Source organism: Homo sapiens, chromosome 7, assembly GCF_000001405.40.
Source record: "Homo sapiens chromosome 7, GRCh38.p14 Primary Assembly".
Taxonomy (NCBI): domain Eukaryota; kingdom Metazoa; phylum Chordata; class Mammalia; order Primates; family Hominidae; genus Homo; species Homo sapiens.
The window spans coordinates 105,654,853-105,670,745 of NC_000007.14; the positions used below are offsets into that span (position 1 = coordinate 105,654,853).

The following is a 15,893-nucleotide window of genomic DNA, read 5'->3' on the forward strand; positions in this document are numbered from 1 at the left end:
GCCTCAGCCTCCCAAATAGCTGGGATTACAGGGACACACCACTACGCCTGGCTAATTTTTTTTTTTTTTTTTGTATTTTTAGTAGAGACAGGGTTTCACCACATTAGTCTTGAACTCCTCACCTCAAGCGATCTGCCCGCTTCAGTCTCCCAAAGTGCTGGGATTACAGGCGTGAGCCACAGTGACTGGACACTTCAGGCCATTTTCTTCCTTCCCCAGCTGTCTTGGTCTTACTTTTCCTCCCAAAGCTGGATTCCCTATTTCTGAGCACTTCTGTGACTTCACAAGGTTGGCTGCATTTACACCCAAGGAGCTGTCCATTGTCCTTACCTTTGCTCATCTGAAAACCCAGTGAGCAGGCAGCCTTAGATGTTTAAATTCCCACGGCCTCCCTGTCCTGGAAGGGACACTCTGCCCCCAGCCGCAGCCCCCACATGCTTCAATATTCTGGTCTGTCTACCTTCCCACCCTCTCTTACCCCTTCCCTCTGAAGTCCATTACAAAAACATTAAACTTCTACTCTGTAGGCAAACAAGTGGGAGCCATCAAAGAGTTGTGGGCAGAACGGGCTCACATCACTCTGGGGGGGTGTGTGGGGTGGACAGGAGGATGGGCAGAGTGAGGGGCAAGGAGGCCAGGGAGAGGCAACTGCAAGAATCCTGCTGAGGAATGCAGGGCAGTCACAGGGGTAGGGTCCTTGCAGTGTCTGCGGCTCCTTGGGTTGCTCGTATTTCACAGCCTGAGACGACTCTCTGTGTCTTCAGGGAGCCATCAATCCTGAGCCTTGGTCTTGCCCCCAGTTCACGCCAGCACCAGGCAGGAAGAGATAAGCCGCCCAGTTTCTCCCACAGGCATCTGGCCAGGGCCTCTCAGTGATCGCTTCCCTCTCCATAAAGCGTTGGGAAGACTTCCAGAGTGCTTACACTCCCTCAGCCCCAGTTGCTCCGGGAAGACCCGCCTGGTAATTCCAAGCATTTGGAGAGGAGCCCCGCCTACCTGGGGAGAGGGAGCCCTCCCCCACCTGCTGCAGGGCATGCACAGGGAGGCCAGGGAGCCTGCTGATTTTTCTTTTGCTTTGGCTCATTTTCCTCCTGGAGCAGCGGGCTCATCTTCTGCATTTTTAATAGCTGAGCATATTTAGCATTCAACACACACGTGTGGGTTGATAAGGCCCAAAGAGAAGGCAACAAGCCATCCAGGGGAGGAAATCCTCCTCCTACCTCCTCTCTGCCTCCTGCCCACCTCAGCCTACAACTGTGGGTCTGAGTTCCCCATCAATTCGCCAGGCCAGACCAGGGTTACCGAAGTGATAGCAGCTGAGAGAGTCAGACTGGCTGACTCGGTCACTGTGCCAGGGTCTGGTCCCATGGCTGAGCAGGGACTCATAAGTAAAGGCTGAAATGCTCATCGGAGCTCAAAAGGGCCAAACAGCCATAACTCCTTCTTGATTCTTATGTGGGGACCGAGTCTTCTTGCCCACCTCCCTCCACTGTCATCAACTACATAGATGTCAACACTGTGAGATGGTGGCCAGGTACCCCCTGACCTCTGGCTCCCACAGGGGTGGTCCCCACTGTCAGGACAGTGAACCAGTGGAAGGGGCCTCTGAGAGGCTGAGTACAGGGCTGGGGATGCTGGGCAGCCTGTGGGTGCTGTCAGGCAGTTCTGCAGGGAACAAACCTGGTAACATGGCAATGCTCTGTTTTCCCCTTTCTTCTTCTTCCTTTTTTTTTTTTTTGAGATAGTCTCGCTCTGTCACCCACACTGGAGTGCAGTGGTGTGATCTTGGCTCACTGCAACCTCTGCCTCCCAGATTCAAGCGATTGTCTTGCCTCAGCCTCCCAAGTAGCTGGGATTACAGGTGCCCGCCACTACACTCGGCTAATTTTTGTACTTTTAGTAGGGACAGGGTTTTGCCATGTTGGCCAGGATCGTCTTGAACTCCTGACTTCAGGTGGTCCACCCGCCTCGGCCTCCCGTGTTGGAATTACAGGCGTGAGCCACCACGCCGGCCTCCCCCTTTCTTGTAATGCAGTTATTTTTTTAAGCTACTCAGTCACATAAAGGAGAAAATAACAAAACCACAGACCATTTAACCTTGTGCTGGAATGCCAGGAGGTCAGCCTGAACTCTAGAGTAGTGTTTTTATTGCTGTACATGTGAATTTGAGCTATTTGGAAAGGGTGGCCCTAACCTGCTGTTAAATCTAATCTAAGGGCCACGGTCCAGTATGGGTTGGCACTGCTTATGCTTTCTTGGCCAGTAGGGGGCGATACAGAGTTCACTTGGAGCAATGGAACGAACTTGGGCAGGGAGTTCTCTGCACCGCCTGATGCAGGTCTTCCAGGTCTGTTTCCACCACAGACCCAGCAGCACCAGGCCAAGGGGAGAAAGGAGTTGGAATTTAGCAACTCCTGATGGGAGCGTAACATTTAAAGAGATTAGAGGAGCCCAATTGACACACCATTGAATTGAAAAAACCAGAGGGTCCCACCCAGGGTCAGTGGCCTATGTGTCTAGATCCAGCAGCCACTAACCACTTCAGGCTACTAAGCATTTAAAATGTGGCTACTGTGGGGGCCAGGCACTGTGGCTCACACCTGTAATCCCAGCACTTCGGGAGGCTGAGTTGGGTGGATCCCTTGAGCTCAGGAATTCGAGATGGTGAAACTCTAACTCTACAAAAACACAAAAATTAGCCAGGCACAGTAGTGTGTGCCTGTCGTCCCAGCTACCTGGGAGGTTGAGGTGGGAGGATCACTTGAGCCCAGGAGGTTGAGGCTGCAGTAAGCTGAGATTGCACCACTGTACTCCAGCCGCAGCCTGGGTGACAGAGTGAGACCCTGTCTCAAAAAAAAAAAAAAAAAAAAAAAAAAAAAGATAAGAAAAAAAGTGGCTACTGTGGCTGTGGCTGAACGGGATTTTAAATTTCATTTAAGCTGAGTTTGTTGAAATTTAAGAACGGATACTTGATTCAGTTATTAGAAAATGTTTAAGTCTGTTTAGAACAACTTGGGTGTCAATCTATTTTATAACCTTTAGTTTTTATGAAACCTAAAAATGGGTCAAATATTTCTAATGAAAATTTAGTGTCCAAATTGAGATGTGCTGTAAGTGTAATAAAACACATGCAGGATTTTGAAGACTTATGAAAAGAAAATAATGTAATCTATCTCATTGGTTATATGTTGAAATGATAGTATTTTGAATATATTAGGTTAAAGAAAATAGTCATGTGTCACTTCATGATGGGGCTATGTTCTAAGAAATGCAATGAGAGGTCATTTCGTCATGCTAACATTGTAGAGTGAACTAACACAAACCCCTGCACACTGGCCTGGGCGACAGAGCTATACCCCATCTCAAAAAAAAAAAAAAAGTGACCAGTTCCACTTTTCCAATGGATTACCCTCTTCTTGCCGGTCTGGGCAGGATTCTGTCCTGTCAAGTATAAAAGGTGCTTGAACCTAAGCTGTATGGTATAGCCACTTGTTCCTAGATTACAAACCTGTACAGCATGTGACTGTACTGAATACTGTAGGCAATTGTAATATAAGTGTAAGTATTTGTGTGTCTAAACATATCTAAATATAGAAAAGCTATAGTAAAAATAGGGTATAATCATCTTATGGGACTGCTGTTGACTAAAACGCTGTTATGTGGCACATAACTTTTTTTTTTTTTTTTTTTTTGAGGTGGAGTCTCACTTGCTTTGTTGCCCAGGCTGGAGTGCAGTGCCAGGATCTTGGCTCGCCGCAACCTCTGCCTCCCAGGTTCAAGCAAGTCTCCTGCCTCAGCCTCCCGAGTAGCTGAGATTACAGGCATGCGCCACCATGCCTGGTTATTTTTTTTTGTATTTTTAGTAGATACGGGGTTCCACCATGTTGGCTAGGCTGGTCTCGAACTCTTGACCTCAAATGATCCATCCGCTTCGGCTTCCCAAAGTGTTGGGATTACAGGCATGAGCCACCATGCCTGGCCAATGACTACTATTAAAAATTAATTTCATGACTGGGCATGGTGGCTCACGCCTGTAATCCCAGCATTTTGGGAGGCCAAGGCAGACGGATCATGAGGAGTTCAAGACCAGGCTGGCTAAGATGGTGAAACCCCGTCTCTACTGAAAACACAAAAATTAGCTGGGTATGGTGGTGGGCACCTGTAATCCCAGCTACTCAGGAGGATGAGCCAGGAGAATAGCTTGAACCTGTGTGATAGAGGTTGCAGTGAGCTGAGATCACGCCACTGTACTCCAATCTGGGTGACACAGCAGGACTCCGACTCAAAAAAAAAATTAATTTCACCTGTTTCTTTTGTACTTTTTTCCAATGTGGCTGTTGAAAATGTAAAATTAACATGTGTGTCACACATTACATTTCTATTGGATAGTGCTAGTCTAAACAATTCTAGACAAAAGGTCAGCCATCTCCAGGAATGGAAATCTCAGAATCCCTTTCAATGGTCACATCCATTTCATTCAATTCGACAAATATTTACTGACACGAGTACCACGCTTGTTGAGTTGGTGAGAGGTTTCCATACAGGAGGCCCTGCAGTAACTACTGGGCAGGAGGAAGACAGGAAGTGGAGTCTATGGCCGACCAGAGAAAGTGTCACATGTGAGGTAAAAATTAAGTGCTCCGGGGATTAAAAGAAAGGCGATAGCATATCAGGTTGTTGGCAAGGAGGAAGTGAATGAGGAAAGGGCATTGAGAGAAGGTAGCCAGTGAAACGGGCAATAAGAATGGTAAGGATTATGGCCAGGAGAGAAGGGGACTGAATGCTGTGGAGACACCGGGCTTAGCAGACCCAGTGCCCTCAGACTCCTCTTTCCCTGTCCCAATCCTCCATGGCACCACCCTTGGCCTCTGTTCTTCTTCTTCTCACACCATATACCTCCCTGGCAGGCCCATCTGTACCCACAGCTTCCATGCCCACGTCTACACTGATGACTCTCTAGTCCTGGCCCATACCTATCTCTTGACCCCTGGTTCCAAACATTCAATGCCCACTCACATTTCTTTTCTCTTTCTTTTTTTTTTTGAGACGTGTAGATATTTCTTAGATACTTCAAAATCCACTGACTTCCCAGCTGAACTCATCCTTCCTTTCCCTCCCTCAACTCTGGCCCTTACTGTCCTTCCCTTGAGGAAGCGGCAGGACCACAACTCTGCTGTCGTAATGCCTTCCCTTGTACTCCAGCCCTACATATGACCAGCCCCAAAGTCCTGCGGAGTTTTCCCTCCTTAATATTTATCTCACCCAGCCCCTCCGTACACACCACTGCCTGGATCCAGGCTGTCACCACGCCTCGCCTGGGTGACACAACATCCTCACCGTTCTTGCTGCTTCCTGTGTGACCCCCCGAGCCATCATTCTACGTGGCTGTCAAGGTGACCAGACTACATGAGAAAACTGCTCCTTTAACACCGCTTTGAAATTTCCAGGGTGAAGTCCAAATTCCTGAACTTAACACATACAGCAGAACTTCATAATCTGGGCCTCACTCCCCTACCCAGTTTCACATCCTGCCTCTCCCCACATGCAAATACTTTTGCACATTCTGTTCCCTTTGCCTAGGACACCCTTCCAACTCTCTTAGATAGAATTTTTTTTTTTTTTGGTGGTAAAATAGACATAACATTAAAAATTTACCATTCTAATTCCATTCTCTTTGTCTACCTCCTTCCTACTACTTGTCCTTCTAATTTAGCGGAAGTGACCTTTTTTTTTTTTTTTTTTTTTTTTGAGACAGAGTCTTGCTCTGTCGCCCAGGCTGGAGTGCAGTGGCGCAATGTTGGCTCACTGCAACCTCCGCCTCCAGGGTTCAAGCGATTCTCCTGCCTCATCCTCCCAAGTAGCTGGGATTACAGGTGCGCACCACCACACCCAGCTAATTTTTGAATTTTTAGTAGAGACAGGGTTTCACCATGTTGGTCAGGCTGGTCTTGAACTCCTGACCTCGTGATCCACCTGCCTTGGCTTCCCAAAGTGCTGGGATTACAGGTGTGAGCCACCATGCCTGGCCAGAAGTGACCTCTTTTGAAAAACCCTTTCTGAGTCCTCAGCCTGGGTTAGGTACCCTTCTCCTTTGCTACCAACCTCATAGTCCTTATCACTTTGTACTGTGTTAGCTTATGTTTCTATTTACAGACTCCCTAAGACAATGTCTGTGTCTTAACTTTGTATCCCCAGGGCTGCAGTGTACAGTTGTATAGGTTATGCACTGTGAGAGGATGCCTGGCTAAGGAAATAAGCAGTGGATGAAGGCCATTAGTCAACTGTGCACCTGGTACAGGCCTGTATCCAGACTGTTTTCTAATTTGCACAAAGGTGCTTGTGTGACACCAGTGGGCCCTGTGTATCCCCTGTGCTTGTTATAGAGTTGGCACACAGTATTACAATAGGTGCTCATTAAATGTTGAGTAAAGATGGACGGATGTTCTAGGCAAAGGTACCAGGGGTAGAGATGGGGGGAAATCTGGCCTAATAGGGTGGTATTGGATACTCAGTATTGACTTAGGGTGGTTGCAGCTAGTTTGTAGAGGGTCCGTTATGTTGGGCTGAGGGACTAACTCTTTAATTCAGGAGGCAGTGAGGAACTTTGTGAATTTTTGATAGGACTGTGATATAGAATTTCAAAATATTCAGGCTTGAAAATGAGACTCAGAGAAGTAAAGTGACTTTTTCAAGGACACACAGAAAGTTAGAGGCAGGGCCCAGACTTGAATTTGATTTTCTTACTCCTAGCTCAGTACAGGTCTGGGGAACTGCACTCTGGGGAGCTGCACTCTGGGATAGCTCAGAACTGAGGCTGAGCCCTCTAAGGCTCAAAACCAAATCATCCCAGCCTTGGTGACTCTATCTCTTCCCTGACACATGTTCCTGGACGTGTTGGGTAAATGGATGACAGCCAGGCAGATGGGAGGTGAGGACAGTTAGGAGACCGCTGCAGTCCATGGTTCAGCCTCATTCATGGTGCACCACTGGTTCTGTCCTCAGAATATTTACCGACTTGCAGGCATGGCAAATTGCCCGTGCCTTTCTCTTCTTCCCACAGGTGAACATTCGAGTCTTTTCACTACGAGCTATCTCTCTCCTTACAAATCTCTTGGTTGCTCATCTCTGGACCTGGGCTAGTTTCTTTAGATTCTTTCTTTTCTTTCTTTCTTTCTTTCCTTCCTTCCTTCCTTCCTTCCTTCCTTCCTTCCTTCCTTCCTTCCTTCCTTCTTTCTTTTCTTTTCTTTTCTTTTCTTTTTTTTTTTTTTAAGCCAGAGTCTTGCCCTGTTGCCCAGCCTGGAGTGCAATGGAGCGATCTTGGCTCACTGCAACCTCCAACTCCCAGGTTCAAGAAATTCTCCTGCCTCAGCCTCCTGAGTAGCTGGGATTACAGGTGTGTGCCACCACGCCTGGCTAATTTTTTGTATCTTTAGTAGAGATGAGGTTTCACCATGTTGGCCAGGCTGGTCTTGAACTCCTGACCTTGTGATCTGCCCATCTCGGCCTCCCAAAGTGCTGGGATTACAGATGTGAGCCACTGCGCCCAGTCAGATTCTTTCTGCCCCTTTTTGCCCCTAGCTGAAGGGGACTTGACTGTGGCAGGTCTTAAGAAGTGTGTGTTGAGTTGGACTGGATTGAGTGTGGACAATGATTTGAACCAATGGTCTCCCTGAAGGTTTGCCTTTTGGGCGAGTGCTTTTTGGTGCCATGGGGCTACATGAGACCTCTCATTTGCTCTTTTACAAGGAGAGTTCATTGATGATCTTCCCCGAGCTCCCTGGGTCTCCTCCTGGCTTATGTGCTCCTTCCCTGGCTTTCCTTATTTTGTTTCTCTGTAGCTCATTTCTAGACTCTGAATAAATTATTTGATCATTTTTATCTTCACTCTGAGTCTGAAGAGCCATTTCTCTAATTTTTTTTAGAGAGATTTGACTTGTCAATCTTTATCCCAGGATGGAAGTGCTGTCCTTTGGCACACATGATAACATAGTAATAATAACCATGACGTTATGCTAAATTATTTATTGAACATATACTATGATCCAGATACTGTGCCTGCTGCTTTATAAAAACTAGCTCACTTAATCCTCACAACAATCCCATGGAATAGAGCTATTATTGGCCCCACTTTACAGATGAGGAAATGGAAGCACAATAAGATCAAATAACTTGCCCAAGGTCACCCAGCTGAAATTTGTGCCCAGGCCAGTGACTCCAGAGCTTGTGGTTACATCGGGACACCATGCAGCCCCAGTAAATAAACTCTCAGGCACATTCTCAGGTCACAGATAAGACGGATTGCAGGTTAGTGACTGGGAGACTCACATCGCCGGTGGGTGGGCAAACACCACTCTCCGGCTGAGTCTTCCCTAACCAGCTACAGCCTCCTGCAGGATGGACCCGCAATCCCAACAACCCAAGGAGAACAAAGCTTGCCCACGAGGCCCAGCTGTGTGGCAGGTAACTCCTCCACAGCCATGCCTACACCTTTCCACTCCATCACAAGAGGCTCTGTAATTGATCTGACATAATTAGCTCTTTACTAAGTTATCATAATTTCCAGTGTGCAGTGACAAACCCATTGATGGATGATTTTACTCTACAGCTTGCCTAGGTACGAACTTAAGTGCAATTAACTGTCATCAATTAATGGAACACTTTTTTTCTTTAAATACATAAATTAGATGGACTCCACACTTATCCCTTCTCTGTCTTCTCAAGGCTTGAAAGATAAGCATAGAGGTGCTGTCAGAAGCCAGTTCCTTAAGTACTCCAAGGTGGGTGCCAACAGCATTTGAAGATACTCATCTTCCTTGTTTTAAGTTTGGTTTCCTAGCTGTCTTTTCCACAGGCAACCTTTTCTGACTTTTTAGTAAGGGCTGAGATAACAAAATGAATTAAAAGCCTCAGATTTTTTTTTTCTTTTTTTTGAGACAGGAGTCTCACTTCGTCATCCAGGCTGGAGCGCAGTGGCACAATCTCGGCTCGCTGCAACCTCTGCCTCCCGGGTTGAAGCAACTCTCCTGCTTGCCTCAGCCTCCCCAGTAGCTGGGATTACAGGTGTGTAACACTATGCCCAGCTAATTTTTATATTTTTAGTAGAGATGGGGTTTCGCCACGTTGGTCAGGCCGGTCTTGAACTCCTGACCTCAAGTGATCTGCCCACCTCAGCCTCCCAAAGTGCTGGGATTACAGGCATGAGCCACCACGCCTGGCCAAAAGCCTCTGAATTTTCACAGCCCACTCCCCCAAAGGGGTGACCTTCTACTTGGCTTTCTTCTCTTTCTCCCATGGTCAGCTCCCAATTAGTTGCCTCTGCTGGTGGCTATTCCACTATTCCACAGGACCTGGGACCCAGTGTTGCGGGTAGGGCCGTGGTCTTGCTCCACACCAGGCACACTGTCAGTGCTTTTGATTTTACACCAGAGCTTCTCTTCACTGGGGTGGAAAATTGAGAGGTGGCAGCAGAACTGAGAAATATTTCCCTGTTACCCTTTTCTTAGACACAACTTGGCTCAACTCTCAAGAGAATTAAAAAAATCCCCCGTCAGGCATACGGTATATACATGTATATATCTACTCTGTCTCAAATATATATATATATGTATGTGTGTATATGTATAATATATGTATACATATATGTATAATATATGTATAATATATATATACATATGTATAATATATATATGTATAATATACATATATATATTATGTATGTGTGTGTATATATATATATTTGAGACAGAGTTTCACTGTCACCCAGGCTGGAGTGCAGTGGCGTGATCTCGGCTCACCACAACTCCGCCTCCCGGGTTCAAGCAATTCTGCTTCAGCCTCCTGAGTAGCTGGGATTACAGGTGTGTGCCACCACACCTGACTAATTTTTGTATTTTTAGTAGAGACAGGGTTTCACTGTGTTGCCCAGGCTGGTTTCAAACTCCTGACCTCAGGTGATCTACCCACCTCAGCCTCCCAAAGTGCTGGGATTACAGGTGTGAGCGTGGCCCATATGGTACTCTTAAGGTCCCACATGCCCTCTAATATTTAGGTTTATCTTTCCATCATTTTGGGTTTCTGTCCTTTCATTCCTCAGTCCCCCAAATTCCTGCATGTGACACCTAGGAACAAAGCCAGAGAGTAAATACTATTTCCCCATGGTGACAGGAACAGCAGGGGGGACAGACAGCAGCTGGCTGCCAGCCAGCTGACTCACCATGGTTTATCCCTTGATCCTTTCGCAGGAAAGACTGTGTGCTGTTTGCTGCTGGAGGTAAGTAGATTGTCTTTGGGCGTTTTGAATGGCTTTGAGGTGCTGCTGGCAGAGTGATGGCCGCTGAGACAGGCTTTTGTTTTCACCTGTACTAGTGATGTCCTGGGATTGGAGGCTGGAGACACTGGAGAGGGAGAAGGTCTACACATTGAACCGTGTCTTCTCTCTACAGGGGCAGAAAGTAGAGAACTCAGCACAGCATCTGTAGCAGGTGAGGCTCCCACACACTCACATACACTCAAACACACAACAGGCGGAGAGAAGCGCTTTCCCTACAGCACTGGCATTCCTGAAGCCTAGGTTCTGATGAGACGATTTGTCTTGACATATGCTCCTATTCCACCAGCTAGCAATAATTATGTTCTGGGTTTCTGTATCAAATGGCATGCTCAACTAACATCAGGGTTCTCATGGGAGGCATTTACCAGGCCATCTTTCTGCAAAACCACTTCCACAGGAGTAGCAGAGGGACACCAGGTGTCATCTGAACAGTGGGACAACCACACATAGCCAAAGCAATTCCTAGACAGCTACACAGAGGCCACAGGTCCATCAGGGCAGTGGACAGGGCAGGACTCTTAACAAACAGGAAACTCTTGAACCTGACAATCTGCAGGAGCACTAAAGTAAGACGGACCAGCAGGCTTGAATCGAAAGGACTTTGCAAGCGAGGAAGTGGCCCAGCAGCTGTCCTGGGACTGAGAGGACAGTGTCAGCACACCCCTGCTATGGCCTCCTCAGGGTCCACAGAGATTGAGGGCCACATGCAGGAGGATGTCAACGCTTGAGGCAGAATCTGCAATGTGGGGCATGGACTTGGGCCGGCGAGCACAACTTCCTGAGGTTCTACAGAGAATACCAGAGCTCTGGGCAGAGATGCCTCACTTGTTCACATTCTGTTAGCCACTGTGCTTTCGACTGAATGGGCAGGATGAGGATACTGACCAGGAGAGCAGATGCATGAAGTAAAGTTCTAGTGTGCACCCGCTATGGGGTTCTTAAATTGTTTTAGAATAACAGATCTGATAAAAATTTAAGAACCCAGCAAAACACACTTTTACACCTGCCCAAAAACTTTGTACATGATTACAGGAAGGAATCCCAAACCCTAAAAAAGACAAAGCTTCCTGAAACCCTAAGTCCTCTCTGGCTCTCTTATGTCTCACACATAATTAGTGCTTAATTAACATGTGTTGAATAAATAAATGAAATTATAACAGTTCTCCTGAACTAGAGATCTGAAAATCTGGCTGAATTTGATAATGCAAAATGTGACAGGCAAAGATGACAGATCATTCTCTCTCCAGCCCAAAGCTGAGCCTAGGCTTCTCTCATTAGGGCACCTTTCCTGGTTGCTTTTGCAGGCACCCTGACCTGGGAGATGCAAGCCTCCCACCTGTGGCCAGCTGCGACAGGAGTCTGGGGTTTTTCTCTGTACTCCCTTGTACCAATGGGTTGCCAGGCTGTCTCAAAGCAGACTGAATTTAGTCTTCTGATGCAATGGGAATTAGGAGGAAGCAGATTTTTGAGGATCATCCAATTGCTGGGTTTCTTTGCTTGACCAGTGCTCATATGCTGCCTACAAAGAATAAGTTTACAGGGTGCTTTTTCCTCATTGAATCAGAGTAGACCTTTGCATACAGCTTAGTTCTCAGAAGCCATCCTGTTGAAGCTTTTGAAAACAAAGAGCTAGTTCTGGGGCCTCTGTTTTGAGGGCTGGGAGCCAGGAGACCTGGGCTCCCACTCCAACCGCATATACACAGTATTAGGCTCGTGGCCTTCAGTTTACCACTTAAACTTCCTTGGTTCCTGTGTCTTTATCTGTGAATGAAGTGGGTCCCTAGATGGCTTCGAAGCCTCCTTCCACTCAATCACCATAAATACAAGGGATACTTACACCTGTTCCTTCCCTTCTCATCTCTCATGATTCCTGGATGTCAGAGCAGTAATAACAGCCAAAATATTGAACAATTTTACTCAGGCAAGATCTTCCTTGGGGGAATTCGTCCTTTGTAAAATTGTACTGGCTTTTACAACCCCTGTGACACAGGCAGGAAGCAGCCAGGGGTCTCCACCCTCCTCATGGCTGACTGGCCAAAGGAGACCCAGAGAGGTGAGGTGATTGCCAGGGTCAGGGCTACTCAAGGATCAGGGTGCCTCTGTGCTGAGTACATGGGCCTACCTGCCTCTCAGGAAGGCAGGAAACTAGGTGAATAAAATTCGAAGCCAGGAAATTAGAAAATGCAGAACTTAGAATCACTAAAGGTTAGAACTGTATCTTAAAAGTCAACTAGTGGCCGGGCGCGGTGGCTCACGCCTGTAATCCCAGCACTTTGGGAGGCCGAGGCGGGCGGATCACGAGGTCAGGAGATCGAGACCATCCCGGCTAAAATGGTGAAACCCCGTCTCTACTAAAAATACAAAAAATTAGCCGGGCGTAGTGGCGGGCGCCTGTAGTCCCAGCTACTTGGGAGGCTGAGGCGGGAGAATGGCGTGAACCCGGGAGGCGGAGCTTGCGGTGAGCCGAGATCCCGCCACTGCACTCCAGCCTGGGCGACAGAGCGAGACTCCGTCTCAAAAAAAAAAAAAAAAAAAAAAAAGTCAACTAGTATGATCTTTCTGATAGATGAGGTTATCAGTTGCCAGCCTTCAGGTTAAAGCTAGTTAGCGACAATCCTGAGACTAGAACCAAGTCTCCTAACTTCAAGTCTATCGACTTTCTGCCTCTCAGAAATGTCTTGTTTAGCAATTTCTTTTTCGGCAGAGGCTTCCAATATGAAAACAAGATTTCAATTTTTACCATTACTGCTTTAGATTTTTCTGCAGTCTTCATTCACTCCTTTGCTATTACTTACTCAAAGCTGGTGGTGGGTGGGTGTGGGATGTACAGAAATATTTCTTGGTTTAGGTGGGGAGATAAACCTGAATAATGAAGATACGTTTATTTTGCTAAACTAAGGGTTAAAAATTATGCAAGTAAACAAAGATAAATCACAAGGAAGTGTGCCATGAAGGACAAAATAAATGTGCCAGGCCAGTGATTCTACAATCACCTTCTAAAAGAATTCTCGTTAGTGGTTCTGGCTGACACATTCTGCTGCTAAATTTACAGAAAAAACCTTTTTTTTGAGACAGAAAAAAAACTCTGTCACCCAGGCTAGATTGCTGTGGCACGATCATGGCTTACTGCAACCTCTGCCTTCCAGGTTCAAGCGATCCTCCCAACTCAGCCTTCTGAGTAGCTGGGACTACAGGCATGTGCCACCATACCCGGCTAATTAATATGATCTTTTGAGACAGAGTCTTGCTCTGTGGTCCAGGCTGGAGTGCAGTGGCAGGATCTCATCTCACTGCAACCTCCCTCAAGAGTTTCTCTTGAGCCTGGGAGAATCAAGGCTGAAGATTCTCAAGATCTCAGTCTCCCAAGTAGCTGGGATTATAGGCATGCACCATCACGCCTGGATAATTTTTATATTTTTAGTAGAGATAGGGTTTCATCATGTTGGCCAGGCTAGTGTTGAACTCCTGGCCTCAAGTGATTTGCCCGTCTCAGCCTCCCAAAGTGCTGGGATTGTAGGCATGAGCCACTGCGCCTGGCCCCGGTTACTTACTAATTAAAACTTTTTTTTGGTAAGGCCAGGCATGGTGGCTCATGCCTATAATCCTGGCACTTTGGCTGGCCAAGGTGGGTGGATCGCTTGAGCCTGGGAGGTAGAGGCTACAGCAAGTTGTGATTGTACCAGAGCACTCCAGCCTGGGCAACAGAGCAAGACTCTCTCTGAAAACATATATATATATTTTTTTTTTGCAGAGACAAAGTCTCTCTATGTTCCCAGGCTGGTCTTGAACTCCTGGGCTCAAGAGATCCTCTTGCCTTGGCCTCGCAAAATGTTGGGATTACAGGTGAGCTACCACATCTGGCCCACAAAACAACTGTATCAGTGGATAAGCTTTTTTCTTGGTTTCATATTTTATTTTTTGAGACAGTCTCGCTCTGTTGTCCAGGCTAGAGTCCAGCGGCGTGATCTTGGCTCACTGCAACCTCTGTCTCCAGGTTCAAGCAATTCTCCTGCCTCAGCCTCCTGAGTAGCTGCGATTACAGGTACGCACCACCATGCCTGACTTATTTTTGTATTTTTAGTAGAGACAGGGTTTCGCCTTGTTAGCCAGGCTGGTTTCAAACTCCCGACCTCAAGTGATCCGCCTGCTGGGATTACAGGTGTGAGCCACCATGCCTGGTTTCATATTTTAGATTCAGAAACTTGCCTTAAATTGTCAATTGAAAGAACAAGTTGCAGTGAGGGAATATTAATTAAAACCTGAAGACAGCCCTTTGCCCTTAATATAAGTTTTTTTTGGTTGTTTGATGTGTGATTTTGTATTGTAATAAATAGGCGAAAGCAGTATGTCCTACTTGTGAAACTGAATTAAATCAGAAGGGCTCTCACAACCCTTGAGCTATGGGAACAAGCTTGTCCCCTACCAGTGCAGGTGAGAAAGGTCATATAAGAATTTAAAGGCCCAGCACGGTGGCTCACGACTGCAATCCCAGCACTTTGGGAGGCCAAGGCGGGTGGATCTTAGGCTGGGAGTTTGAGACCAGCCAGACCAACATGGGGAAACCCTGTCTCTACTAAAAATACAAAATTAGCTGGGCGTGGTGGCGCATGCCTGTAATCCCAGCTACTCGGGAGGCTGAGGCAGGAGAACCGCTTAAACCCAGGAAGTGGAGGTTGTAGTGAGCCGAGATCGAACCATTGCACTCCAGCCTGGGCAACAAGAGCTAAACTCCATCTCAAAAAAAAAAAAAAAAAAAAATTAAAGTGGAGGGACCAATAGAGTCAGTGGTCAGGGATTCACTCTGGAGGTGAGCTGTAGCTAGGCTTTTGAAAATGGGTAGAACTGATGTCCCAGGTAGGGCAGAGTGAGTGGATTTTACAAAAAGACCTATTCAATCTTTGTTTCTCTAGTCTATGAAGACCTGCCTGTAGTGGACTTACACAGTTTTGCGTTGGTGAGGAGGCGGGTTAGGTTAGTGATAGAAGAAGGCAGGGTCTTATCTTTTGCAAAAAGACGCTGCTGTGCAGGTGAGGTTTCTCTGAGTGAAGCTCTCCTGCTGTACATTACAATCATTCAGATACAAGCCTTCACCCACTTGAGGCTCAATCATGTCTTTCTATGTTTTGATTAAGGGACTGCCTAAGGTAGATCCCTATAGTTATTCTAATTCCATTTGCCCTGCCCAGAAAGAATTTGTAGTACATGATATCCCTCATTGTTAAAATATTTAATACTTAAGCAATTTTAGAGAAAAAGAGCACTTTCCTCTAAATTTTCTTAGTCTTCGTTAATGCATATAGCTTTATTAAGAAAACTGCAATCAATGGATATTTTGGACTATTCTTTGTCAGCTAACATTCTACATATACGTATCAAATTCCCACAAACTTGCTATTTTAAACTGTTAGGTAATATTCAATCATTAACATGGCGCAGATTATTTAGCTACTCTCTTGCTGTCTACCTACTATTTATCTTTAAAAAAAAAAAAACTGATTTGGCCGGGCGTGGTGGCTGACATCTGTAATCCCAGCACTTTGGGAGGCCAAGGTGGGTGGATCAC

At 46.6% G+C, this 15,893-nt stretch overlaps 1 protein-coding gene across 4 annotated transcripts in view, besides 5 other annotated features; it reads right to left on the minus strand.

Annotated features, from left to right (window-relative positions):
• ATXN7L1 (ataxin 7 like 1) overlaps nucleotides 1-15,893 on the minus strand; it is a 271,828-nt gene that overhangs the window by 50,081 nt on the left and 205,854 nt on the right. For all 4 annotated transcript variants that reach the window (NM_020725.2, NM_001385596.1, NM_138495.2 and 1 more), the window contains one exon: nucleotides 10,214-10,436. In NM_020725.2, the coding sequence (NP_065776.1) occupies nucleotides 10,214-10,436 (223 nt within the window). The remainder of the gene's footprint in view (nucleotides 1-10,213; nucleotides 10,437-15,893) is intronic.
• Nucleotides 710-1,004: a silencer, noted in NCBI's record as "tiled region #7350; K562 Repressive DNase unmatched - State 8:EnhW". NCBI's record gives its function as "represses a minimal TATA promoter and a strong SV40 promoter by Sharpr-MPRA in K562 cells {active_cell/tissue: K562}" and the evidence as "EXISTENCE:reporter gene assay evidence [ECO:0000049][PMID:27701403]".
• Nucleotides 710-1,446: a biological region, named in NCBI's record as "Sharpr-MPRA regulatory region 7350".
• Nucleotides 723-1,446: an enhancer, noted in NCBI's record as "H3K27ac-H3K4me1 hESC enhancer chr7:105296022-105296745 (GRCh37/hg19 assembly coordinates)". NCBI's record gives its function as "activates a minimal SCP1, AML or CMV promoter by ChIP-STARR-seq in naive and primed H9 embryonic stem cells {active_cell/tissue: H9 hESC(naive and primed)}" and the evidence as "EXISTENCE:reporter gene assay evidence [ECO:0000049][PMID:30033119]".
• Nucleotides 10,050-10,344: an enhancer, noted in NCBI's record as "tiled region #5075; K562 Activating DNase matched - State 8:EnhW". NCBI's record gives its function as "activates a minimal TATA promoter and a strong SV40 promoter by Sharpr-MPRA in K562 cells {active_cell/tissue: K562}" and the evidence as "EXISTENCE:reporter gene assay evidence [ECO:0000049][PMID:27701403]".
• Nucleotides 10,094-10,287: a silencer, noted in NCBI's record as "fragment chr7:105305393-105305586 (GRCh37/hg19 assembly coordinates)". NCBI's record gives its function as "represses an EF-1alpha promoter that drives an FKBP-Casp9 reporter gene in an ReSE screen in phorbol 12-myristate 13-acetate-treated (for megakaryocytic differentiation) K562 erythroleukemia cells {active_cell/tissue: K562(+PMA)}" and the evidence as "EXISTENCE:reporter gene assay evidence [ECO:0000049][PMID:32094911]".